General features: G+C 43.5%; 1 protein-coding gene and 1 long non-coding RNA gene across 24 annotated transcripts in view, besides 3 other annotated features; both read right to left on the reverse strand.

The window, feature by feature from the left end:
* Window positions 1–25,197, reverse strand: part of ASAP1 (ArfGAP with SH3 domain, ankyrin repeat and PH domain 1) — a 391,571-nt gene that overhangs the window by 27,096 nt on the left and 339,278 nt on the right. For 16 of the 23 annotated variants that reach the window (XM_047421806.1, XM_017013468.2, NM_018482.4 and 13 more), the window contains 2 exons: window positions 12,774–12,944; window positions 703–772 (listed from right to left, as the gene is read on the reverse strand). In XM_047421806.1, coding sequence (XP_047277762.1) covers window positions 703–772; window positions 12,774–12,944 — 241 coding nt within the window. The remainder of the gene's footprint in view (window positions 1–702; window positions 773–12,773; window positions 12,945–25,197) is intronic. The other 7 variants (XM_047421810.1, NM_001362926.2, NM_001362925.2 and 4 more) reach the window with 1 other exon arrangement.
* Window positions 485–634: an enhancer, noted in NCBI's record as "active region_27980". NCBI's record gives its function as "activates an Ori minimal core promoter by ATAC-STARR-seq in GM12878 lymphoblastoid cells {active_cell/tissue: GM12878}" and the evidence as "EXISTENCE:reporter gene assay evidence [ECO:0000049][PMID:35858748]".
* ASAP1-IT2 (ASAP1 intronic transcript 2) lies at window positions 3,539–5,569 on the reverse strand. The gene has a single exon (NR_045385.1). It is a non-coding gene; the product is annotated as an ASAP1 intronic transcript 2 (long non-coding RNA).
* Window positions 6,920–7,452: an enhancer, noted in NCBI's record as "H3K27ac-H3K4me1 hESC enhancer chr8:131098365-131098897 (GRCh37/hg19 assembly coordinates)". NCBI's record gives its function as "activates a minimal SCP1, AML or CMV promoter by ChIP-STARR-seq in primed H9 embryonic stem cells {active_cell/tissue: H9 hESC(primed)}" and the evidence as "EXISTENCE:reporter gene assay evidence [ECO:0000049][PMID:30033119]".
* Window positions 18,918–19,075: a silencer, noted in NCBI's record as "fragment chr8:131110363-131110520 (GRCh37/hg19 assembly coordinates)". NCBI's record gives its function as "represses an EF-1alpha promoter that drives an FKBP-Casp9 reporter gene in an ReSE screen in phorbol 12-myristate 13-acetate-treated (for megakaryocytic differentiation) K562 erythroleukemia cells {active_cell/tissue: K562(+PMA)}" and the evidence as "EXISTENCE:reporter gene assay evidence [ECO:0000049][PMID:32094911]".

Raw genomic sequence — 25,197 nt, forward strand, 5'->3', positions numbered from 1 at the left:
AAGAGAGATTTTGTTTTCTCATCTTTCAGAAACTCTGGATAAGAGCTGACTCTTTTTCCCTGAAGTTTGGGTCTGGAAGTGGCTCTCTGTCCTTTCCTTGGATGGCACCTCCAGAGAAAACACTTTAGGGTAAGGCTGGATAAAAACTGCCCGTAAGAGATCTCCTCAAGTATACAATTTCAGTGAAAAAAGGGAAGAAAAGAACACTGCTGTCAGCCTAGCCTAAAAAAAAAAATATTAGAAACAGAACTTGAAAGAGTGCTATTTTTATGTTTGAAAATCTCCAGGCAATCAGATTTCCCTAAGGATTATCTTTTCATTTCCAAATCTGCAAAAGGAGTCAAGTGGAAAAGTAACAAAGTTACTTGATTAAAATATCAAAAATAAAAACTCATTCTGACAGGAATTTTGTTCAAGACCACTGCACAACCCTGCGACCACCGGGAAGTGAGGTTAGCTCCTGTCTGTGAACTGGGTAGACAGCGTTGCTGCTCAGAGAACGGTCTGCAGACCTGTGCCCAGTCCAGTCACAAGATGTGCATGCAAACCAAGAGTGAACGTCTGGTTTCTTGTTGTGGCCTGCCCCACTTGGCTGACCACAGCTTTGAGCAGCGCTGGGAAATTCATGAAAACTCATTTCTAGAATTCTGTCCATTGCATCAATGGATCCAACAGGGGAAATGAAGCGCTGAGATGGCTTACCTCGACTGCTGGGATAGTCCCTCAAACTTGTTTGTAGTCTTACTTGAAGAGGATGGACCCCCATCGTTACCTACAAGGAAAACCGAAGGTGAAAAGGTATGTCTTTAGATGGGGAAATGCAATGAGAATACATGGGTTTGGCCTGTAGACAGGCATTGCTCAGGTTCCAGAACGGCATTTAAAAGACCCAAGCCAAAACGGCATGCATTTCTGGCCTAAGACCAAAACAAAACTGAGCACTGTTTTGGGCTTTGCGGTTTTTTATTTCTGGTAAAGGAGTGTATCAAAGAGGTGAGCAGCTGCTCTGTGGCAAGGCCTCAAAGAGCATAGAAACTTGGTGATGTTCCCACTGGCTCAGGATCTTGTCCTTAGTTTGAGGGTAGAGAAAGAAGAATAAATTTCAAGTTCACCAAGAGGCCTCATGCTAGGAGACTACCCTCTAGTATCCAAACTCAGAAGAAACACACAACTCACAAGTGGAATGTGCATGTGAACACCATTAGCAGGGTGGTGGATAAGTGGTCATCTGTTGGGCCAGGCCCTCAGGCACTTACTGACTCGTCATTCATTCTCTCTCTTTTTTTTTTTTTTTTTGAGACAGTCTCACTCTGTCACCCAGGCTAGAGTGCAGTGGTGCAATCATGGCTCACTGTAGCCTTGAACTCCAGAGTTCAAGTGTTCCTCCTGTCCAGCATCCCAAGTAGCTGGGACTACAGGGGCATTCATTCAAATATTAACTTTTTTTTTTTGAGATGGAGTCTCACTCTGTTGCCTAGACTGGAGTGTAGTGGTGCAATCTCAGCTCACTGCAGCATCGGCCTCCTGGGTTCAAGTGATTCTCCTGCCTCAGCCTCCTGAGTAGCTGGGACTACAGGCATATACCACCACGCCCAGCTAATTTTTGTATTTTTAGTAGAAACAGGGTTTCACCATGTTAGCCAGGCTGGTCTAAAATTCCTGGCCTCCGGTGATCCACCTGCCTCGGCCTCCCAAAGTGCTGGGATTACAGGCATAAGCCACCATACCCGGCCAAGTATTAACATTTATTAAGCATCTACTATGTGCAAGGCATAAATGTGAAGCAGAAGGCACAAAAACAAATAAAACTTCACTGCTCTCACAGAGCTTATGCTCTGGCCTGTGAGACTTAAGACATAGGAAATACACTAATAATGTGTAATGAGATGAACATCAGTTGCTGTCAATTGAGGAGAATAGTTTCTAAACTCTGACTGCTGGCAGGAGTGGGGAAGAGGGAGTAGGGAATGCTGTCTGGGGAAGACATAGCACCTGGACAGGTGAAGAACTTTCTAGCGGGTGAGCAGCAAAACCAGAGGCACACAGGTGGAGGTAAGTGTGCTATGTCCAGGAGAGGGTCACAAGACAATAAATGAGGGCTCTTCTATGATCCATTTTGTGGTGGGCAGAGTGCAGGGCAGTTGTGGAGCCCCAAGCTGCAGGCACCCAGGAGGATTCCCCGGGACCCTGCATGGGCACCCTGTCTCTGGGGCTCTAGTTCATTTCCTTGTCCTTTCTTCCTATGACTGCTCTGGAAACTCTTGTTCTCTTCTTTCAGCAGCCTCCTCTCCTCCTCTACCTAGAAGACTATAATACTGCCTAGGTGGCACTGGGAATGGGCTGGCTGAGGAGGCTGAGCACCAGGAGGGCAGATGAAGAGGGCAGGGCTGAAAAAAAACTAACTGATCCTCACTACACTGCACATCTGCTCAATAGCACCACCGATTGCCCACATGCTTTTATATTCATCCAGCCTTCCTTCCTCACAGCATGAGACTGGCATCATAAGATAAGGAAATGAGACTAAATGAATAAATGGCTGCAGGTCCCGTGGGGAAATGGTGTACCTGGGAGTCCTGACCACAAATCAATGTGCTCTTCATTACCCATCAAGACGCCCTGATAGTAACATTATTAACAGCAACGACCGTTTACTGAGCACTTACTGTGAGCAACATACTGTGCTACATACTCATAGTAATTATGCTTATGAGATAAATAGTATAATCACCCCTCATTTTATATATGAAGAAGCACACAGAGAAGTAAAGTCAATTGCCCAAGGTCAGGTCACTGGTAAGGGTCAAAGCTGGGATGGAAAGCCAGCAGCCCTCTTCCAGGGTCTGTACTGTGAATCACCACACTCTAGCACCTATCACCTCCTGGTCTGACTGCACCTACTGAAGAGGGAGAGGCTGGCAGGGTGCTCACCTCCTGGACAGAATGTTCTGTAATTCTATGATATTGATACAAGAAGAAATGAGATAAACTGGCATTACTAGAAGAACCAAAGGCTTTCAAATTTAGTTTTATTTAATTTTAATTAAACTAACCATCAGTATATGTTCATGAGCCCATATAACTTAATATTTAAGGACTTCTTTGGTAACTCATAAAATCCTCAGAGCTGTGATGTTCTTCAAGGTAGGGCATTTATTTTTTTTCTTATTTTTTATTTATTTATTTTTTCAAGATGGGGTCTAAGTTGCCCAGGCTGGTCTTGGACTCCTGAGACCAACTGATCCTCCCACCTTGGCCTCCCAAAGTGTTAGGATTACAGGTGTGAGCCACCACACGTGGCCTTTTTTTTTTTTTTTTTTAAGAGACAAGTTCTTGCTCTGTCACCCAGGTGGGAGTGCAGTGGCATAATCATAGCTCACTGCAGCCTTAAACTCCTGGGCTCAAATGATCCTCCCGCCTCAGCCTCCCAAGTAGCTAGGACTACATGCATGACCCACCATGCCTGGTTAATTTTAATTTTTATTTTTTTTGTAGAGACAAGGTCTCATTACTAATTTTTTTTTTTTTTTTTTTTTTTGGTAGAGACAAGGTCTCACTGTATTTCCCAGGCTGGTCTCAAATACTTGGCCTCAAGTGATCCTCCTGTCTTGGCCTCCCAAAGTGCTGGGATTACAGGTGTGAGCCACTGCACCTAGCCTGGTAGGCATTTCTTTCTAGCACTGTGCTCAATGATGAGTCTTCAGGGCTAGATATCAAATCTTATACTTTCCCACTTAAATGAGTTATAACAATCAAAACGTCAAGGAAAATTTTATGTTTGGGGAATGAACTGTTACATCCACTAATTCCCTTTCCAGGTAGAAAACATTCCAAAGAAGTGATTATTAATGCAGGTTGCATGTGCTATACATGAGTAAATTTGAGACCAACAGGGCTGCAAAGGCCCTCTGGCTCTGCTGTGGTCATTCATTCTGCTGTCACACAGACGAGTCATCATGTCAGGGGCTGCTGCCCAATACCCACAGGCCCAAATGTCCAGAGTTCTCACTTAACCTTACTCTTTGGCTTCTCAAAATGAGTCTCCTTTTTCCAAAGATGGTGTGAGTTTTTATGTCTCTGTAACTTTGCCCCTTACGTTCCTTTTCCCTGCAAGGAAGGCCTGTCTCCTTCCAGTTTTGGTGAATTCCTACACAACCTTCAAAGAACACCTTTAGAGTCACTTTCTGAGAATTCTTCCATAGCTGACTTGACCAGCCCTTATAACCAGCTTCTTACCAGGAGTGGTTAATTAGGGGTGCAGATTTTGGACCTAGACAAGTGTGGCTTTGAATTCTAGCTGTACTGCTGACCAGTGGGTATGAGTTTGGGTGACTTCTTATTCTGCTAAGCCTCGATTCCGTCATATATCAACTGGGAACAACCATGGTACCTACTACCCTAGATGGGCATGAGTATTAAAGGAAATAAACTATAAAGTACGGGACACAGTGCTAGACCACAGGAAGCCTGACACAAGGGTATTATTATTCACAGCTCTTCAATGGCATGAAACAGAAATGATGTTAATTTACTCAATGAGTGGTCACTTCAAAGAATGGACCCCACCTTCTATGTCTTGGTAACACCATTATTTTTATTTTTATTTTTTCTGAGATGGAGTTTTGCTCTTGTTGCCCAGGCTGGAGTACAACGGCATCATCTCAGCTCACTGCAACCTCTGCCTCCTAGGTTCACTGATTCTCCTGCCTCAGCCTCCCAAGTAGCTAGGATTACAGGCATGCGCCACCACGTCTGGCTAATTTTTGTATTTTTAGTGGAGATGGGGTTTCGCCATGTTGGCCAGGCTGGTCTTGAACTCCTGACCTCGAGTGATCCACCTGCCTCGGTCTCTCAAAGTGCTGGGATTACAGGCGTGAGCCACTGCGCCAGGCCGATAACACCACTTTTTAACAAAATGTCTGGCACAGAGCAGTCAATAGTCCCTGCTAGCGAAAGACAGGACTGACCGTGCTGGCTCATCAACTTCTCTGCCCACAGCGGACCTTCTTACACCTGGCTGGGTAGGCGTCTATGGTCTGGTTGACAAGAATCCTGTCACTCTCATAGCTATGCAAAGGCTACCTGCTGTGCTTGAGAAGAAAAGTGTGGCTAGAAAAAATTCTGAAAATAAAATAGTACTGAAAAGAGGACAATGAGCAGCAAAAATATGGAAGCAACTCAATCCCTTTTTCTCTCTCTGTGCAATTTGGAAAAAGGTCTTAGTGTATCATACAGATGTGTGTAAGAGAAAGTTGGAGATACCTCCTGGGCAGGCAATGGAAGAAGTGTGGCCAAGACTCCTGGTCACCTACCATAGCTTCGAAGCTACAGGAGAAGAGTTTGTGGAAAGAGAGGGGGCATTGGCTCAGCAGCGAATGGCCAGGTTGCTACAGGAGTATTCTGGAATAGTGAATTACTATACAGGCCTTGGAGTTGGAAATGGGTTCAAATCTCACTTCTGCAGTTCCTGGATTTGAGATCTTAAGCAAGTCATTTGACTTCTCTGTGCCTAATTTCCTCATCAGTAACTGGGACAATGACAGTCCCACTTCCAATAAGTAGATATGTAATAAAACAAACAAACAACAAGAAAAAACAAAAAAACAAAGGAAAAGAAAAGAAAATAAGTAAATATGCATGTCTCAGACATTTCATCTATGGAGCTTTTTTACCTGGAAGTCCCAGGCCTGAAATATAAGCAGTAAACCAATTTTTGGTATAGTTTTTCATCCATTATTTGCTCTATATTAAATAAAAGTACAATTCTAACTCCCAGTGACCAAAGATGAGGAATGTAAGTGATTCCCAGAGGTCACTTTGTCAGGGATTGGTAGAACCTGGATCAGAACCTGGGCTTCTGGAATGTTCTTTCAGTGCATGTTATGGTTTCCCACGTGCACTGCAGACACTTCTCTAAATGCCAAAGGATGGAGGGCCAGGGGAGGGGGGAAATTGTTATTAGGTATTAATTCAAGAGTGTTAGAATAGTGTCAGTCTTAAGGCTACCATGAACCTAACAATTAGTTGTATTTCTCTCTTTGCTCTTGCCTGTAAGAATCTTAGGGTCAAATCCGTGGCCCACTTCCAGACACTGTATGTGACTTTTTGTTACTCATTTTGTGGAGAAATCACACTCCTGGAATTCACCTTACTTTGCTACCTTTATTCTCCCTTTGTCCTCATTTCTTATTATTTAAATTGTGTTAAAATATGTGTTAGTCTGTTATAAAGTAGGTTATTAAAGAAAGAGGAGGACCGGGTGAAGAGGCTCACGCCTGTAATCCCAGCACTTTGGGAGGTCAAGGCAGGAGGATCACCTGAGCCCAGGAGTTCGAGACCAGCCTGGGCAACATAGTAAGACCTTGTCTCTACAAAAATTAAAAAATCAGCTGGGTGTGGTGTGACGCACCCAGAGTCCCAAGTTACTTGGGAGGCTGAGATGGGAGGATCACTTGGGCCCGGGAGGTTGAGGCTACAATAAGCCATGATTGTGCCACTGTACTCCAGCCTAAGCGACAGAACAAGACGTTGTCTTTAAGAAAAAAAAAAAAAAAAAGGAAAGAGGTTCAATGAAATGCAACTTCAAAAATCATAAATTCCCTACAAAACCCAAATCTGTCCACAGGACTATTTGTTTTGCTATCAAAAGCCTGCCTTAGAAGTCTCCTGAGACAGATGGCTGGATTCATCACAGAAGCAGGACTTCAGTAATGTAATGCTGGGGCTATTTTGGGCACTGTGGATGTTGTGGTTCTGGCAGGGAAAAAGCCTGGGGTGGCCCTCCCAGCCTGGGCAGCGCAGGAGCTGCATACCAGGGTGCCATGCTGCAGATGGATAAGGAGGCACAGCCAGCAGAGCTTGTGCTGCTTGCCAGGAGAACCATGCTAAGTTGATCGCCTTCTCCACACTTCAGCTTCATGGGCACAGAAACCACTGCTGTGAGGAGAAATGGCCAGTGGGCCTGCATTTTGCGAGCACAGAGTGGTGCGTGGAGAGGGTGAGGAGGGCTGGCTCTCAGCCACACAGGCTGCAGGTGAATCCTGGCCCCCACGTACTAGCTGTGAGAAACAGTGTAAATCACTTAACCTTTCTGCGCCCCGAAGTTGAGATAATAGCATTTTCTCTCTGTGTAACCATGGTTAAGAATGAGGTACGTTAACACATGCGAAGTGCTCAACACAATGCCCAGCACTCTGTGAGGCACTTACAAGTGATGGCCTTATAAAATATTACGTACGTAGTTTTTTATCCGAAGATTCTAAAATAATGAATTGTCATTTTCTTTTGTCTTACAAGCCATAAACCTGTATTAAGAATTTATGGGCTGGGTGTGGTGGCTCATGCCGGTAGTCTCCAGCACTTTGGGAGGCCAAGGCAGGTGGATCACATAACTCAGGAGTTTGAGACCAGCCTGGGCAATATGGTGAAACCCCGTCTCCACAAAAAATACAAAAATTAGCTGGGCATGGTGGTGCACACCTGTAGTCCCAGCTACTCAGGAGACTGAGGTGGGAAGATAGCTTGAGCCTGTGAGGTGGAGGCTGCAGTGAGCTATGATCACGCCACTGCACTCCAGCCTGGGTGACAGAATAAGACCCTGCCTCAAAAACAAAGAAAAAGGAGTTTATGAAGGCATGAAATGGAATTTGAGAGGGGGAAAGACAGACTCTTTGTAATGAAGGAAGTGTGGCCTTCTGTGAAGTAGATGCATTAAAGGTTATGATCTCTGGCCCTCGTTCTCACAAAACACTCAACATCAGCTGCCTTGCTTATTTCCTCCTGCCTATTCCACTCATCTTCCAAGGCTAAATGCAACATCTACTTCCTTCTTAAACCACCTTCTACCTCCTTCTTAAAGGTCAGCATGGGGGACTGGGCGGGGCTAATCATCAGCATAGAAAGTGTGATCATCAGCAGAGCCAAGACCTGTCAGCCATGGCTACTCTGCAAAGGAGCTGAATGTCAGAGGTGCCCCTGAGACCAGAAACACAAATGTCGGGGAACCAAAGAGGGGTATAGGCTTCACACTTGACAGGTGGGCCAAGTTCGGTGGCTCATGACTATAATCCCAGCACTTTGAGAGGCCGAGATGGGTGGATCACTTGAGGTCAGGAGTTTGAGACCAGCCTGGCCAACATGGTGAAACCCCGTCTCTATTAAAAATACAAAAATCAGCTGGACATTGTGGCGGGTGCCTGCAATCCCAGCTATTCGGGAGACTGAGGCAGGAGAATTGCTTGAACCCATAAGGTGGAGGTTACAGTGAGCTGGGACTGCACCACTGCATTCCAGCCTGGGCAACAGAGTGAGTCTGTTTCGAAATAAAAAAAAGAGAACTTGACAGGTGGAAACCTCCACCTGGCTGAGGAAAGAGGCTAATGTGCTGCAGGGAGGGGTCATGGGAGTGATGCCAGTGCTGCTGTATGGATGGCTAGTGAGACTGGTGGGTACAACAGAGTGGTGGTGTGAACAGGTGGCCTAAAACAGATTGGGACAGGAGGCCTCGAGTCTTGCCTACTTTACAAGTTTGATTCCACATTTAATGTTAGGCAAGCGATCAGCGTGAACCCATTGATCTAAAAAATAGAGAGCTGCTGACAACAACTATTACCCCCAAATCTCCCCTGTGAATCTGGAGGAGGAAATCCTAGGCACAGTGGGGAGAGGAGTACATGACAGCTCACATCTTCTCTGAAGACTAGAAAAAACAATGGCCAAGACAGGGGTTTGAGACTTTTGAGGTTGCTGGGATGGGTGAACATATTTTGCATGTGGGTTGGATGTGACTCTTTGGGGGTCAGAGGACAAGCTGTGGTAGGCTGAATAATGGCCACCCAAAGTTATCGAGTCCTGATCCCTGGAATTTGTAAATGTGACCTGACTAGGAAAAAGGGTCTTTGTAAATATAATTAAGTTAAGGATCTTGAGACAAGGAGATTATTTTTTTTGAGAAGGAGTTTCGCTCTTGTTGCACAGGCTGGGGTGCAATGGTGCAATCTCGGCTCACCACAACCTCCGCCTCCCGAATTCAAGCGATTCTCCTGTCTTAGCCTCCCGAGTAGCTGGGATTACAGGCATGCGCCACCATGCCCAGCTAATTTTGTATTTTTAGTAGAGATGGGGTTTCTCCATGTTAGTCAGACTGGTCTTGAACTCCAGACCTCAAGTGATCCGCCCGCCTTGGCCTCCCGAGACAAGATTATCACAGAAAATTCATGTGGGTCCTATATACAATCACACGTACACTTATGAGAGAGAGGCAAAGGCAGTTCTGAGAACACAGAGAGGCGGCGGCAGTGGGGAGATGACCATGAAGGCAGAGGCTGCACCACTCCACGGATCACCTGGAGTCACCAGAAGCTGAGAGAGGCAAGAAACAGATTCTTCCCACAGGGCCTCTGGAGGGAGCAAAACCCTGCTGGATTTTGGACCTCTAGCTTCTAATACTGAAAGAATAAATTTGTCATTTTACAACATCCAGTTTGCGGTATGCGTTACAGGAGCCTCAGGAAACGAATGCAGGTTTCTCCCATCTCTAGCTATCCAGCAAAATGCTAGGCTGAGAATAATGGTAACAGTAGCTATCATTTATTGGGTGCTGCCTATGGTTTTGGTTGCTTTTTATGTGTTCTTCTCATTTAATCTTCATAACTCCATATGCAATACAGACACTATTACTAGCCCCATATTATAGTTGGAGAAGCTTTGGCACTGAACATTTCAAAGATACTTGCTGAAAATCACAAGGCTATTGAGTAGTAGAGATGGAATGAGAATCCAGACAGTATGACACTTGAGTTCACCTTAGAGCACTTTGCTCTGCTGAGAGAAGCAGCACATGCCCTCAGAAGGAGTTCATGTACTAGGAAAGACAGGCAAGGAAACAGCCACTGTGATACCCACTACACCAGTGGGGACAAAAGGGTGGGGAGTGGGGAGTTTTACTGGACTGCAAAAGGCCTTTTAAGTAGATCCCAGGACAGCAGATCTTGAAAGATGACTAAACATTAACATAAAGAAGTAGAGGGAAGAAGATTCTAGGTTGAGGGCATACTGTAAGCAAAGGCTCAGATCTGAGAGAAAAAAATAGAACTTTGGGGAATGTGGTGTACCTCAAGATGGCAGACATGTTCAGCTTTGGGGGTGGAGAGGTAAGGCCTGGTGAGAGCTAAGGGGCTGTTCTTTTACTACCTGCTCGTGCCTGGTGTCTACCTCCCAGTCCTGATCTCTCACAGTTCAAAGGCCCTGATCCTCATGGGCTGAGGAGAGATGAGAGGTTTAGGGGAACATAAGAGCGTTGGAAAGGTGCGTCCACAGACGAAAGCTGCAGGCATCAGAGAGGAAGGTTGCCTAGAAGGTTGATCCCCTAAGTGCCTTGCTGATGACCTGTCTGGGCCCTGCCTTTGGCTTCTACAATACAATGTCAGCAGGAGGCGGGGAAGGGATAAAACCAAGCAGTAATAATACAACACAGACCTCAAGCACTAGGAGCAGAGCAACTATAACCTTTCTAAGGAGAAGTCCAGCCGTGTATGAATGCACCCACACATACATGCCCATTACTGACCTGTGTCTGTAGACAGTATATCTCACATACATGCATGTACACCAACATATGCTTTCTAAAATCAAAATTTAAAAAAAAATTTAAATTGTTTTTTAAATTTAAAATTTTGATTTCAACAATCAAAAGTCCATGCCATGTGGCGAACTGTCACTGTGGCCGAGGACAGATGATGATTTTTGTCCTTCAAGGCTGGTTGTAGGTGAGAGGCTCTTAGCTGGTGAGAAACTGACAGACAGAACAGCGTCCTCATCTGGAAAAGGTTATAAGGCTCCCAGCTCACTGTCAGGCACTCTTTTAAAGTAAATTTTGTTTAATAAAAAATGCTCCCTGACCCATCAACAATGGGGGGAAAAACGGCCAGCTGCTAGTCTTGCTCTTGAGTGATGTGAAAATCTAAAAAAGTGATGATTTTCAAGCCAGAAAGCAGAAATTTGGTAAATTTATTTGAGGAATGTTCGAGTCTATACAATGTGAATAAAGGCACTTCAAACCTTAAGAAATAAAGCCACTTAAACAAGAGGATTAAAACTTAAGAGAAATTTGGAAAGGAGGTTAATTTGTGATATGAAACGCTGATGTGAAACTTGTGACTTTCATGGAATGTTATTTGGGGGAAAGGCCTTTTTGATGAAATCTGGGGATCCCGAAGGCCTTACACAGCAGCCTCTGAAAATGTCACGGACATCCTTAGTCTTTATGTACATATGTGCTAGCACACCTCAATTGTTCTTGCCTGGCTTGTGGGAACTAATTCATTAACACCAAACTCCAATGTCTCCTCTTCTCTAAACCTTCCCTGGCTTTCCTCTAAAGTCTGACATTCAGTTTTCTGGCATTTCTAGTGTTTAGACAACATGTCTATCCTGATAGTAAAGAACATGTGCTCTAATGACTTACCCACGTGTGTCCTGCATTAGACCATGAACTCCACGAGCATATGGACTGAGAAGGCCCAAGCAAGGGGCATAGTAAGTGCCTCAAGTAAGCAAACAGAGTCAGAGAATGAACGGCTAAATGCACACACATGCTTGCACACACATAACCCGGGGTGTCTGGGCCAGATGGTGAACAGGTGACAATCAGCAACGGGACAATATAACTTTCCCCCAAAACTCAAAACACAAAAAATATGAAGAAAGCCACAATGAAACTCCACAGCAGGAAGAGGTGAGACACACAAACTAACAAATTTATTCAGCAAAGCTTCTGTGAGTGTCTGTCACGGGCCAAGACCCTGTTTCGTGATGGGGTGACCCCTAAGTCGCTAGCAGGCTAGTAGTAAAGATGGGAATTATGTCCCTTGTAGATGGGAATTTGTCATGTGCAGTCAATGTCACTGAAATGATTAACAAGCTGACTCTGGGCAAATTTATTCATTCTCAAGTGATTCCTGAATATTCACTGTATGCCAGGCGTGGTTCCAGTAAACACTGGTGAGAACAAGACCAAGACAAGGTTCTGGCTCTCATGGAGCTTACATTTTAGTGGGGCGGCTTACATTCTGTGATAAGGTGTTTGGGGGAAAACAGGTAGGGAGGAAGCTGCGTTGGAGGGCGGGGGAGATAGACATGCTGGCTGAGAACTCAAGGATGAAAGGGAAGCAGCTGTTCAAAAAGCATGACAGAGTTCCAGGGAGTGGGAGGGCCCTCAGGAGGCAGAGGATGGTGTATCCAAGAAGTGAAAGAAGGCCAGCCCTGAAGATAGAGTGGCAGGAGAGGGTCTAGGAGATAAGAGCCCGATCATGCAGGGCCCTGTGGGCCTTGATATAGGGAGCTTGCATTTATCTGAAGCTCAAAAGGAAATCTCAAAAGGGTGTTAAGGAGAAAAGTGACCATGAGCTGATTTACACTTTATAAGAAAACCATTCTGGCTGTTGTGAGGAAAATGGATTACTTTGCTTTTCTGAGCCTCTGTTTCCTTATATATAAACGAGACTAATAATACCTACCTCACAGAGTTGCTATTATAATTGAGTAAGATTTAGGAAGTGCTCAGCACCTTTTAGTTTTTAATGGCCTAAATATTTTTCAAAATGTTCCTTTCCCTTAAGAGACAGGTAGAATCATGTCATATATACCCGAGTCAGCACCCAGCATGTGTGTGCATTTTGGCACACTTTCTGAATGTGCTAACAGGCCACTGCCCAGTGGAGCCCCACACGCTGCCTGGCCCCAGCAGCTTTGGCCCTGACTTTAGGATAACTTACCCCAAGGAACTGCGCCTTTGTTTGGGGGCCCATGAGGTAGTGGGCTGGGAGGGTCGGATAGGGTTCTCTTGTGTCCGGGTGGTGGGGGAGGAGGCCTCTTCTTGGATAGGGTGGAGCTGCCACTAGAGGTCTGGGTGCTTAGAGGGAGTGTTGAAGGTGGGCCAGTTGGACCTAGAAAGGAAATTGAATGGGGGCAGGAAGATTAATCCCAGTCTCACAGATACAAAACAGCCAGTATGAAATCACTTCCACACATCAGAATGTGGTATGACACACAGAGACAAAAGCAAAAGGCTGGATATGGCTAACTCCATCAACCTAATAACTCACAAGTAGGGTTTCAAAAATTTGGTTAAAAAAAAAATAAAATTGGCCAGGTGCAGTGGCTCATGCCTGTAATCCCCTGCACTGTAGAAAGCTGAGGTGGGAGGATTGCTTGAGGCCAAGAGTTTGAGACCAGCCTGGGTAACACAGCAAGACGCCATCTCTATAAAAATTTAAAAAATTAGCCAGGTGTGGTGGTGTGTGCTTGTAGTCTCAGCTACTTGGAAGACTGAGGTAGGAGGATCACTTGAAGTCAGGAGTTCGAGGATACACTGAGCTATGATTATGCCACTGCGCTCCAGCCTAGGCAACAGAGAAAAATTTACAACAAAGGTAAGAAGAGTGTGTGCTTTTAGGAACAAAATGCCAGTCAACACAGAATGCTACTGAGTTTAGATCATTTAGGTACAATGGGAAAAACAAACACACACACACATCTTAAAACAATAACTCCTTATAACCATCACAGAACCTACTGAAGGAGAAATCACACACCACTACCAGCAAAATCAACAGAGAAAGAACAGAGTACAGGCTAAGCCTTCACTGGGCCACAAGCTGAAACATGAAATGATTCATATAATAGAATTTTTCTTTCTACAACTTTTTCTTCTAGTCAGCAAACTGCCTGACGCTTTTCTTAAAAAAAAAAAAAAAAAAATTAAGGCTTTTCTAAATAATGAAGAAAGAACTGGACGTAAAGCATTACCTAGAAAAAAGAGAAATCCAAAAACCCTTTGCTCTAGAAACCAAACCATCTGTTATATTGGAAGCCTGAACAACATTTATATAGACACTGATTTTTATAGACTAAAAAAAAGACTCAACTTTCTCCAGAGCTAAAGACAAGACAGCAGGAATGATAGTAATATTCCACATACACACAAAAATGGGGTTCGTTTTTAAAAGCTGTTAAGGGAGTAGTGTATTTGATCTTAGTTTTGTTTATTCAAAGTGACATTGAAGTGGCTGGTGTGTGCCAGGTATTCCATGCTGGGCACTTTCACTACTATTGCTTTATTTAAGGTATATGGTTTAACTGTGTTCATGGCAAACTGCTTCTGTAAACGTTAAGAAAAAAAAGCTAGGACCAGGCACGGTGGCTCTCGCCTGTAACTCCAGCACTTTGAGAGGCCGAGGTGGGCAGATCACTTGAGGTCAGGAGTTCAAGACCAGCCTGGCCAACATGGTGAAACTCTGTCTCTACTAAAAATACAAAAATTAGCCAGGTGTGGCGGTGCACGCCTGTAGTCCCAGCTGCTCGGGAGGCTGAGGCTGGAGAATCGCTTGAACCCAGGAAGTGGCGGTTGCAATGAGCTGAGATCATGCCACTGCATTCCTGCCTGGCTGTCACAGCGAGACTCCGTCTCAAAAAAAAAAAAAAAAAAAAAAAGAAAGCTAAGAACACTGCCACACTGAATGTTTAACACAGATTAGTAGATACCTAGTAATCCAGAAGGGCTCCAAAAGAGCTTTATACACTCTTCATATTAAAAAAAAAAGTCTAATTACTGCTGGCCTCTTTCCTTGGTACAAAGTAAGCTTTCCTATTTCCCATTGTCAATTACTAGTCCCTACCAATATTGACTTAAACCATTATTTCTATAAGATAGGCTAGTTCTGAAAGTAAATACTGTTAATCTCAGTAAAATTATCATCTGCTTTAGGTTTAAATTGCCAGGCTATATAATTTACATCTTTGTCCCATTGCGTAATTCTATTACACAATGGAAGCCTGATGCTTACCCCAAATCAACACTTAATTAGGGTGTCAGTCACAGCAGTTTTCAGAAACTATTTTATTTTTGTAACAATACAGAGATTGTTATTATGGCCTTGCATCTGTATAATGCTTTGTAGTTTTCAAAATGTGTTTATATATGCTATTCCTCAGCTTCTTCCCTAGGTTTATCGTTAAAAAAAATTTTTTTTGAGACAAGGTCTTGCTTTGTCATCCTGCTTGGAGTGCAGTGGCAAGATCACAGCTCACTGCAGCCCTGATCTCCTGGGCTCAAGCAATCTTCCCTCCTCAGCCTCCTGAGTAGCTGGGACTACAGGCATGTATCATAACATCCAGCTAATTTTTAAAAATTTTTAAATTTTTAGTAGAGACAGAGTCTCACTCTGTTGTCCAGGCTGGCCTTGAACTCCTGAGCTGAAGCGACCCTCCCAAAGTGCTAGAATTATAGGCGTGAGTCACCACGCCTAGTCTAAATTTAAAAAAAAAAAATGTTTATGGATACGAATAGTTGTACCTCTTCATTTTCATACTAACTCTGTGAAGTATGTGGGTCAGGTAGTATTGTCCCCATTTTGCAGCCGAGAACTCAGAGGCATGATTAAAGTCACAAGCCATGAGGGGCAGAGCTGGGATAAGGCAGGTGTCCAGGACTGGCGAGGCACTCACCCCATCAAATGATGCTGCTGGTTCCTGAAAGCCAGAGCAGCATTTCCTGTGCTTGGCATATGAGGAAAACAACAACAAATGCTCAGTATCAGGAAGTGTAACTTTCCTTTTGGAAATAAATGGATAATAGATAATAGACAATGGTGAGGTTCTCTAGCAATTTCATCTTTATCGCCATCTAGGGACTTTCTGATGCAGATGCAGTTCCCTGCTAGGAAACAAAAATTGTCAAAGACAAAATGCTAATGGAGCCATGTCTCTGAGCAACGCTGCATTATATATGTATGAGACTGTAGGAGAGATTACACCAAAGAGGCATCCTGTAACCATAAACCATGTAAAATCCAACCTCCTGAATCATTTCAAAAATTAAGTAATTGTGCGTCCCATGCCCTTATATACTTCTGACTTCCTTCATATTGCTGAGTATAATCTCTAATTAAGTCTTTGTTTACTTACTTGTTACCTGACTCTCCCATAAGACTGGGAGAGTTGTATTAGGGCCAGGCTTTTCTCTGGTTTCGTGTAGAGTAAATATTTACTGAATAAATAGAAGACTCAACCACTACTTCTATCTTTTTAGGCCAGTGATTTTTTTTTTTTTTTTTTTTTTTTGAGACGCAGTTTCACTCTGTCGCCCAGGCTGGAGTGCAGTGGCGTGATCTTGGCTCACCGTGACCTCCCCCTCCTGGGTTCAAGTGATTCTCCTGCCTCAGCCTCCCAAGTAGCTGGGACTACAGATGTGTGCCACCACGTCTGGCTAATTTTTGTATTTTTAGTAGAGATGGGGTTTTGCCATGTTGGCCAGGCAGGTCTTGAACTCCCAACCTCAAGTGATTCACCTGCTTCAGTCTTTCAAAGTGCTTGGATTACAGGCGTGAGCCACCATGCCTGGCCTAAGGCCAGTGATTCTTTTGTCTTTTTTTTTTTTTTGAGGCAGAGCTTTACTCTGTCACCCAGGTTGGAGTGCAGTGGTGTAATCTCGGCTCACTGCAACTTCTGCCTCCCAGATTCAAGGGATTCTCCTGTCTCAGCCTCCTGAGTAGCTGGGACTACAGGTGCACGCCGCCACACCCGGCTAAGTTTTGTATTTTTAGTAGAGATGGGGTTTCACCATGTTGGCCAGGCTGGTCTTGAACTCCTGACCTCAGGTGATCCACCCACCTCAGACTCCCAAAGTACTGGGATTACAGGCGTGAGTCACAGTGCCCGGCCAGGCCAGTAATTCTTAAGGAGGCCAATATGTTTCACTTAGGTTGACTGATCAGAAACAAGTGGGGAGAATTAGCAGGAGGGAACAGTGTTAAGTGTGAAAAGGGATATTCAAGTTTATAATCTTACACTTGGAAAACAAACACACAGACAGACCTATCTATTGTCTTGTAGTAGAAGCTACAGAAAGGAAGATGCTACAAAATCTTGGCTGGGAAGACATGAGGTAAAATAAGGTTGAAAAATACTATATATAAGACCCCAGAAATGCAGACTTAAAAAAATGTTTGAAGATTTAAAGAGCTCAGAAGACTTCCAAAATTAGTAACCAGTCCCACAGCATTAAAAGGGATCTTTTATGCAAAATAAATCTGAGTACTGGTTCAGTCAGGAAAAAAGCAATTCTGGTAAGATAAAGAAAGCTGAAACAAAATAAAATGGAACACAGCATCAAACGCAACACAAAAAAGGGTGGGGAGGCAAGATTAGTGAGTGGTGACAGAGATGCAGAGGTGACTAAGAGGCAATTTTCTCTCCTGAACTCTGCCAGAGGCCTGTGGAAGTAACAAGAAAGTGCCCCAAACCTCACTTGCCACTAATATTGGCTACCATGTGAAATAATGTCTATATCTTCTTAAAAACATGGGTCTAGCCTTCCAAAGCTTCTATGAATAAATCTGAGGTTAAATAATTAGAAGATCTTCTAAGAGGAAGTAGAGTACACCTCATTCTTCCTGAGGGTTTACATGTTAGTTTAGCATCAGCTGTCACATTCAAAGAAGCTGAATCATCTAGGAGCATGTGTTTTCCACGAGAAAGCATTCCCTGCCCTTAAACAGAGATGGATGACAGGACTAGTGTTCTGCAGGGTGAGAAGGCAAGCCACATATTTATTTTTAAATAATCCATGATCAGAAAAAGTCCTTGAGGCCGGGCATGGTGGCTCACATCTGTAATCCCAGCACTTTGGGAGGCCGAGGCGTGAGGGTCACTTGAGGCCAGGAGCTTGAGACCAGCCTGGCCAACATAATGAAACCCTGTCTCCACTAAAAAATACAAAATTAGCTGGGCATGGTGGCATGCACCTGTAATCCCAGCTACTTGGGAGGCTGAGGCAGGAGAATCGCTTGAACCCGGGAGATGGAGGTTGCAGTGAGCCGAGATCATGCCACTGCACTCCAGCCTAGGAGACAGAGTGACAGTTAGTCTCCAAAAAAAAAAAAAAAAAAAAAAAAAAAAAAAAAAAGTCCTTGAAAACTGTATTGTGGACACCCACTGGTGCCTGTTCTCACCACCCTTCATTCTGGAGGCACTTCTGGGTCCTCTTTTGGGTATCAGGTGCTGTGCTCTGGACACAGGCCTGTCCTCAAGGCACTCTGCTCTGTGGCTTCTCTCCTCACCTGCCCTGTTCTCCAGGGGTTCTAAATGTGTCTTCTGATCTGTTCTTCACCGTCCTCCCTTGTTAACGGCCCTCCCTGCACAGACAGCATCCCCATCCCTGACCCTGGCTATGCCTGGGTCCCTTCCCACATCTCCAACAGCCTCTTGGTCACTCCATTTGGACATTCTGCTGTGCCTTCAACTCAAGTGGTTGCCGCTGAACCTACCTGATGTGCTGCCAGAGCACCTCAACGTCCTTAGCCTCGGGGATGCCTCTGTCTGAGGTCTATGTCAGAAGTGTGCCCGGCATACAGCCAGGGCTCAGGAAGTGCACCCAGGCAGTGTATTGCAGAAGTGACTATGCTCACCCTGGCAGGCCCACGGGCAGTTTTCAGGCCAAAGCTCTTGTCCCACATTCCTGGGCCCAACAATTTAGTCTCTCAAAAAGTGGCAGCGATCTCCTGAGACTCTCTCCCAGGAACTGACATTCTCTTCTCACTGAAGCTCCCTTATGGGAAATCGATATATTCTTAAACTATGAAGGTGGTTTGAGAATATCTCCCCCAACAGTACTCAGCAAGGCAATCTCTCCACTTAGCCCAGAAAAAATGTCCTGGAAATTCATTCACTTATACCTAAATAGATATAAATATACCTTAAAAAATGAAAATTAATTCCTAAAATCATAATCAGCATGCTTTTCAAATCTCTTCCTCCTCTTCTTGCATTTTCTGGAGCTACCATTTACTGAGTATTATGTGCTTGAGCTAAAACACAGTATTTAAAATTTATCTTGTAAAATATTATCATTATTGTCACATTATCCATTTGAAGGATAAAAAGACCCAAGGCTCAGAGGGTTTAGGAACTTGGCAAGTCACAGCAAATGAGCAGCTACGTCCAGGCAGAACCCCATTCTGTCTGACTCAAGGCCAGACTCTCAGCCTTGACAACAGCTTGCTTCCCTTCCTCTAAATGGCATCACATCCTTTCCGGCTAGAACTTTCAGGGACATAACTGAGTTATCACTTCACTTCCACATTCTCATCTTTAAACACTTTTTTGAGATGAAGTTTTGCTCTTTGTTGCCCAGGCTGGAGTGCAGTGGCATGATCTTAGCTCACTGCAATGTCCACCTCCCGGGTTCAAGCGATTCTCCTGTCTCAGCCTCCGAAGTAGCTGGGATTACAGGTGCCTGCCACCACGCCCGGCTAATTTTTGTATTTTTTTAGTAGAGACAAGGTTTCACCATGTTGGCCACCTAGGCTGGGCTCAAACCCCTGATCTCATGATCCGCCCGCCTCGGCCTCCCAAAGTGCCGAGATTACAGGTGTGAGCCACGGTGCCAGGCCTAAAAACTTTTTAGTTGACACAATTGTACATATTTATAGGATACATAGTGATATTTCAATACATGTGTATAATGTGTAATGATCAAATCAGGGTAGCTAATATCCATCATCTCAAAGATTTATCATTTCTTTGTGTTGTGAACATTCAAAATCCTTGCTTGTAGATTTTGAAAATATACACCAAATTACTGTTAACCACAGTCACTCTACAGTGTTACAGAACACAGGAACTTATCCTTCCCATCTAGCTGTTATTTTGTATCCATTAATCAGCCTCATCCTCCGCTCAACCCCTTCCCAGAACTCTAATAACCTCTCTTATACTCTCTACTAATATAAGCTCAATACTCTCTACTAATATAAGCTTTTTTTTTTTTTTTTTTGAGACAGTCTCACTCTGTTGCCCAGGCTGGAATGCTGCAGTATGATCACAGTTCACTGCAGCCTCAACTTCCGGGGCTCTGGAAGTGATCCTCCTACCTCAGTCTGCCCAGTAGCTGGGACTATACGTGTACGCCACCAGGCCTAGCTAATTTTTTTTTTTTTTGGTGGACTGAGTCTCGCTCTGTTGCCCAGGCTGGAGTGCAGTGGCGAGATCTCGGCTCACTGCAAGCTCCACCTCCCAGGTTCACGCCATTCTCCTGCCTCAGCCTCCCGAGTAGCTGGGACTACAGGTGCCTGCCACCACGCCTGGCTAATTTTTTTTGTATTTTTAGTAGAGACGGGGTTTCACCATGTTAGCCAGGATGGTCTCGATCTCCTGACCTCGTGATCCGCCCATCGTGGCCTCCAAAAGTGCTGGGATTACAGGCATGAGCCACTGCGCCCGGCCAGGCCCAGCTAATTTTTTAAGAAAAACTTTTTGTGGAGATGGGGTTTTGCTATGTTGTCCAGGCTTGAGCTTTTCTTGTTTTGTTTTAGCTCCCACATGAGTGAGAACATGCAGTATTTATCTTTCTGTGCCTGGCTTATTTCACTTAAAATAATGTCCTTCAGGGTCATACATGTTGTAGCACATGAAAGGATTTCATTCTTTTTTTTTTTTTTTTTTTTGAGACAGAGTCTTGCTGTGTCGTCCAGGCTGGAGTGCAGTGGCATGATCTCAGCTCACTGCAACCTGACCTCAGGTGATCCACCCGCCTCGGCCTCCCAAAGTGCTGGGATTACAGATGTGAGTCATTGTGCCCAGCCTATAGGATTTCATTCATTTTTATGGGAATAATATTCCATATGTATATATACACATTTTCTTCATCCATTCACCTGCTGATGGACATTTAGACTGATTCCATATCTTGGCTACTGTAAATAGCACTGCAGTAAACATGGGGTGCAGGTATCCCTTTAATATACTGATTTCCTTTGCACTGGATAAATACCCAGTAGTAGAATTGCTCAGTGGTATGACAGTGCTATTTTCAGTTTTGTGAGAAACCTCCATACTGTTTTTCATTAGTACCTGTACTAATTTACATTCCAACCAACATTATATAAGAGTTCCCCTTTCTCTGCATCCTCATCAGGATTTGTTATTTCTTGTCTTTTTGATGATAGCCATTTTAACTGGAAATAGATAATATCTCATTGTGGTTTTGATTTACATTTCTCTCATGATTAGTGATGTTGAGCATTTTTTCATATACTTATTAGCCATTTATATGTCGTGTTTTCTTTCTTTCTTTCTTTCTTTCTTTTTTTTGAGACGGAGTTTCACTCTTGTTGCCCAGGCTGGAGTGCAATGGTGTGTTCTCGGCTCACTGCAACCTCCGCCTCCCAGGTTCGGGTGATTCTCCTGCCTCAGCCTCCCGAGTAGCTGGGATTACAGGTGTATGCTACCACACCCAGCTAATTTTGTATTTTTAGTAGAGATGGGGTTTCACCATGTTGGCCAGGCTGGTCTCGAAGCCCTGACCTCAGGCAATCTACCCACCTCGGCCTCCCAACGTGCTGGGATTACAGGCATGAACCACCACACCCGGCCTCTACTTCTTCTTTTGAGAAATGTCTGTTCAGATCCTTTGCCCATTTTAAAATCACATTATCATTATTATTTTGCTGCTGAATTGAGTTCCTTGTATATTCCGGATATACAAGTCCCTTGTAAGATGAATAGTTTGCAGATAGTTTCTGCATTCAACAGGTTGTCTCTTTGCTCTGATTGTTTCTTTTGCTGTGCAGAAGCTTTTTAGTTTGATATCGTCTGCTTTGTCTATTTTTTTGTTGCCTGTGCTTTTGATGTGCTACACATACAATTTTTGCCCAGACTAATGTCCTGAAGTGTTTCCCTTATGCTCTCTTCTAGTAGTTTTATAGTTTCGGGTATTATGTTTAAGTCTTTAATTCATCTTGAGTTGAGAGATACCCAGCTTTCTCAGCAAATTAAAGAAGGATCCTTTCCCCAATGTATGTTCTTTGCACCCTTATCAAAAATCAGTTGGCTATAAATATGTGGATTTATTTCTGGGTTCTATGTTCTGTTCCACTGGTCTATGCATTTGTTTTTACACCAATACAAAGCTGTTCTGGTTACTATAGCTTTGTAGTATATTTTGAAGTCAAGTAGTGTAATGACTCCAGCTTTTTTCTTTTGGCTTAGTATTACTTTGGCTATTTGAAGTCTTTTGTGTTTCCATATGAATTTTAGGATTGCTTTTTTCTGTTTCTATGAGGAATGTCATTAGTATTTTGAAAGAGATTGCATCGAATCTGTAGATTGCTCTTGGTAGTATGATCATTTTAACTGCATTAATTCTTCCAATCATGAGCATGTGATGTCTTTCCATTTTTAATTGTCCCCTTCAATTTCTTTTATCACTGTTTTATAAGTTTTCATTGCAGAGCTCTTTCACCTCCTTGGTTAGATTTATTCCTGGGTTTTTTAGTTTTTTGGGGGGTAGCTATCGTAAAAGGGATTGCTTTCTCAATTTTTCTTTTTTTTTCTGAGACAGGGTCTTTCTCTGTCACCCAGGCTGGAGTGCAGTAGCGTAATCACAGCTCACTGCAGCCTCCTATGCTCAAGCGATCTTTTCACCTCAGCCTCCCTACTAGCTGGGGACTACAGGCATGTGCTACCACACCTGGTTAATTTTTTTTTTTTTTTTTTTTGCAGAGATAGGGTTTCACCATGTTGCCCAGGCTGGTCTCAAAACTCCTAAGCTCAAGCAATGCACCCACCTCATCCTCCTAAAGTGCTGGGATTACAGGCATGAAGCATCACACCCGGCTTTTTCTTGATTTTTTAAAGCTAGTTTGTTACTGGTGTATAGAAACACTACTGATTTTTGTATGTTGATTTTGTATCCTGTCACTTTAATGAATTTATTCATCAGTTCTAAATGTGTTTTTTGGTGACGTCTTTAGGTTTTTCTATATAGAAGATCATGTCATCTGAAAAGAGGAACAATTTAACTTCCTCTTTTCCAGTTTGGATGCCCTTTATTGCATTCTCTTGCCTGACTGCTCTGGCTAGGACTACTTCCAGCACTATCTGAGCAGGAGTGGTCAAAGCAGGCATCCTTGTCTTCTTCCAGTTCTTAGAGAAAAAGCTTTCAGCTTTCCCCCATTCAGGATGATTTAGATGTGAGTTTGTCACATACGGCCTTTATTATTTTGAGATATGTTCCTTCTATACCTAATTTATTGAAGGTTTTTATTATGAATGGATGTTGAATTTTATCAAATGCTTTTTCTGCATCCATTTAGGTCATCATATGGCTTTTGTCCTTCATTCTGTTGATGTGGTGTGTCTCATTTATTGATTAGCGTATGTTGAAACATCCTTGCATCCCTGCGATAAATCACACTTCATCATGGTTTATTATCTTTTGATGTGTTGTTGGATTCAGTTTGTTAGTATTTGGTTAGGATTTTTTGCATCTACGTTCCACAAGAATATTGGCTGGTAGTTTTCTTTTTTTGTTGTGTCCTTGTCTGGTTTTGGTATTAGGGCAATGCTGGCCTCATTGGAAGAGTTAGGAAAAATTCCTTTGTCTTCAATTTTTTTGGAACAGTTTAAGAATTGGTGCTAGTTTTTCTTTACTATTTGATTGATTGATTGAGACAGGGTCTTGCTCTGTCACCCAGGCTGGAGTGCAGTGGTGTGATCTTGACTCACTGCAGCTTTGACCTCCTGGGCTCAAGTGATCATCTTGCTTCAGCCTTCTACATAGTTAGCACCACAGGTAGGTACCACCGTGCCCAAGTAATTTTTTATTTATATTTTTTGTAGAGACAGGGTCTCACCATGTTGCCCAGATTGGTCTCAAACTTCTGGCCTCAAGTGAGCCTCCTGACTTGGCCTCCCAAAGCATTGGGATTACAGGCACGAGCCACCACATCCAGCCTAGCTGTCTGTTTTTTAAAGATTTGGCAGAATTCAAGTAATAAAGCCATCTGGTCCTGGAGTTTTCTTTGTTGGGAGGCTTTTTATTACTGATTCAATGTTGTTACTTATTATTAATCTGCTCAGGTTTTCTATTTCTTCTTGGTTCAATCTTGGTGGTTGTTTCCAGGAATTTGTCCATTTCCTCTAGGTTTCCTAATTTGCTGGCCTATCATTATTTATAATAGTCTCCTACAATGACCTTTGTATTTTTGTGGTATCAGCCTCCTTTTTCATTTCTAATCTTATTTATTTGGGTCTTCTCCCTTCTTTTCTTGTCTAGCTAAAGGCTTGTCAATTTTTTTCATCTTTTCAAAAAAACACAACACTTGCTGCTTTTCTGTATTGTCTTTTCAGTTGCAACTTTATATATTTCTGCTCTGATCTTTTTTCTTTCCTTTTACTAATTTTGGATTTGGTTTGTCCTTGCTTTTCTAGTTCCTTGAGGTGCACCATTAGGTTATTTGACATTTTTATTTTTTTATTTTTTTTGAGATGGAGTTTCGCTCTTGTCACCCAGGCTGGAGTGCAGTGACGCGATCTCGGCTCACTACAACCTCTGCCTCCCGGGTTCAAGTGATTTTCTGCCTCAGCCTCCCGAGTAGCTGGGATTATAGGCGTGTGCCACCACGCCCAGCTAATTTTTGTATTTTTAGTAGAGATGGGGTTTCACCATGTTGGCCAGGCTGGTCTTGGGTCTTGAATTCCTGACCTCCCTCAGGTGATCCACCTGCCTCGGCCTCCCAAAGTGCTGGGATTACAGGCGTAAGCCACTGCACCTAGTGATGTTTTTCTTTTTCTATGTAGGCATTTATTGCTATGAACTTCCTTTTTAGTATTGTTTTTACTGTATCCCACAGGTTTTGGTTACATCTTCATTTTTTTAAGGGTCAGTTCAAATGTAACTTCATCCAGAATCCTTCTCTAATCCATCCCCTCTTCCCTGGAATACCCACTCTTATCTCTGAGCTTCCAGGGCTTAATGGATATTCTCTACCATACATTACAGCTACAATTTCTCTTCCTTTCCAGACTGTGTGCATCCATAGGGCATGATCTGTACTGTCTCCACAGCTCTCCTGCCAGGGCCCGGCATGCTCTGGGTACTCAGTACACAACTGAAAAAGTACAGTAGAGGTTCCTCTTCAAAGACTTTCCTCCCCATCTAATTAGGAATAAATAGTAACTTCTCTTAGAAGTAAAATTTATTCAAAGACCTGTGCTAACATTTTTAAATCTCTGCTAGCCATAATAAAGAAATCAATGTACTTTATGTTCTTAGTTCCCAAAATTTAGCCTGAATCTTTGCCCTGGCATGCTTATACTGGTTCAAGCAAGCATTAGGTCATGGCCTGTTCCTCTTCCTTA

The sequence above is a fragment of the Homo sapiens genome, chromosome 8, assembly GCF_000001405.40.
Source record: "Homo sapiens chromosome 8, GRCh38.p14 Primary Assembly".
Classification (NCBI taxonomy): Eukaryota; Metazoa; Chordata; class Mammalia; order Primates; family Hominidae; genus Homo; species Homo sapiens.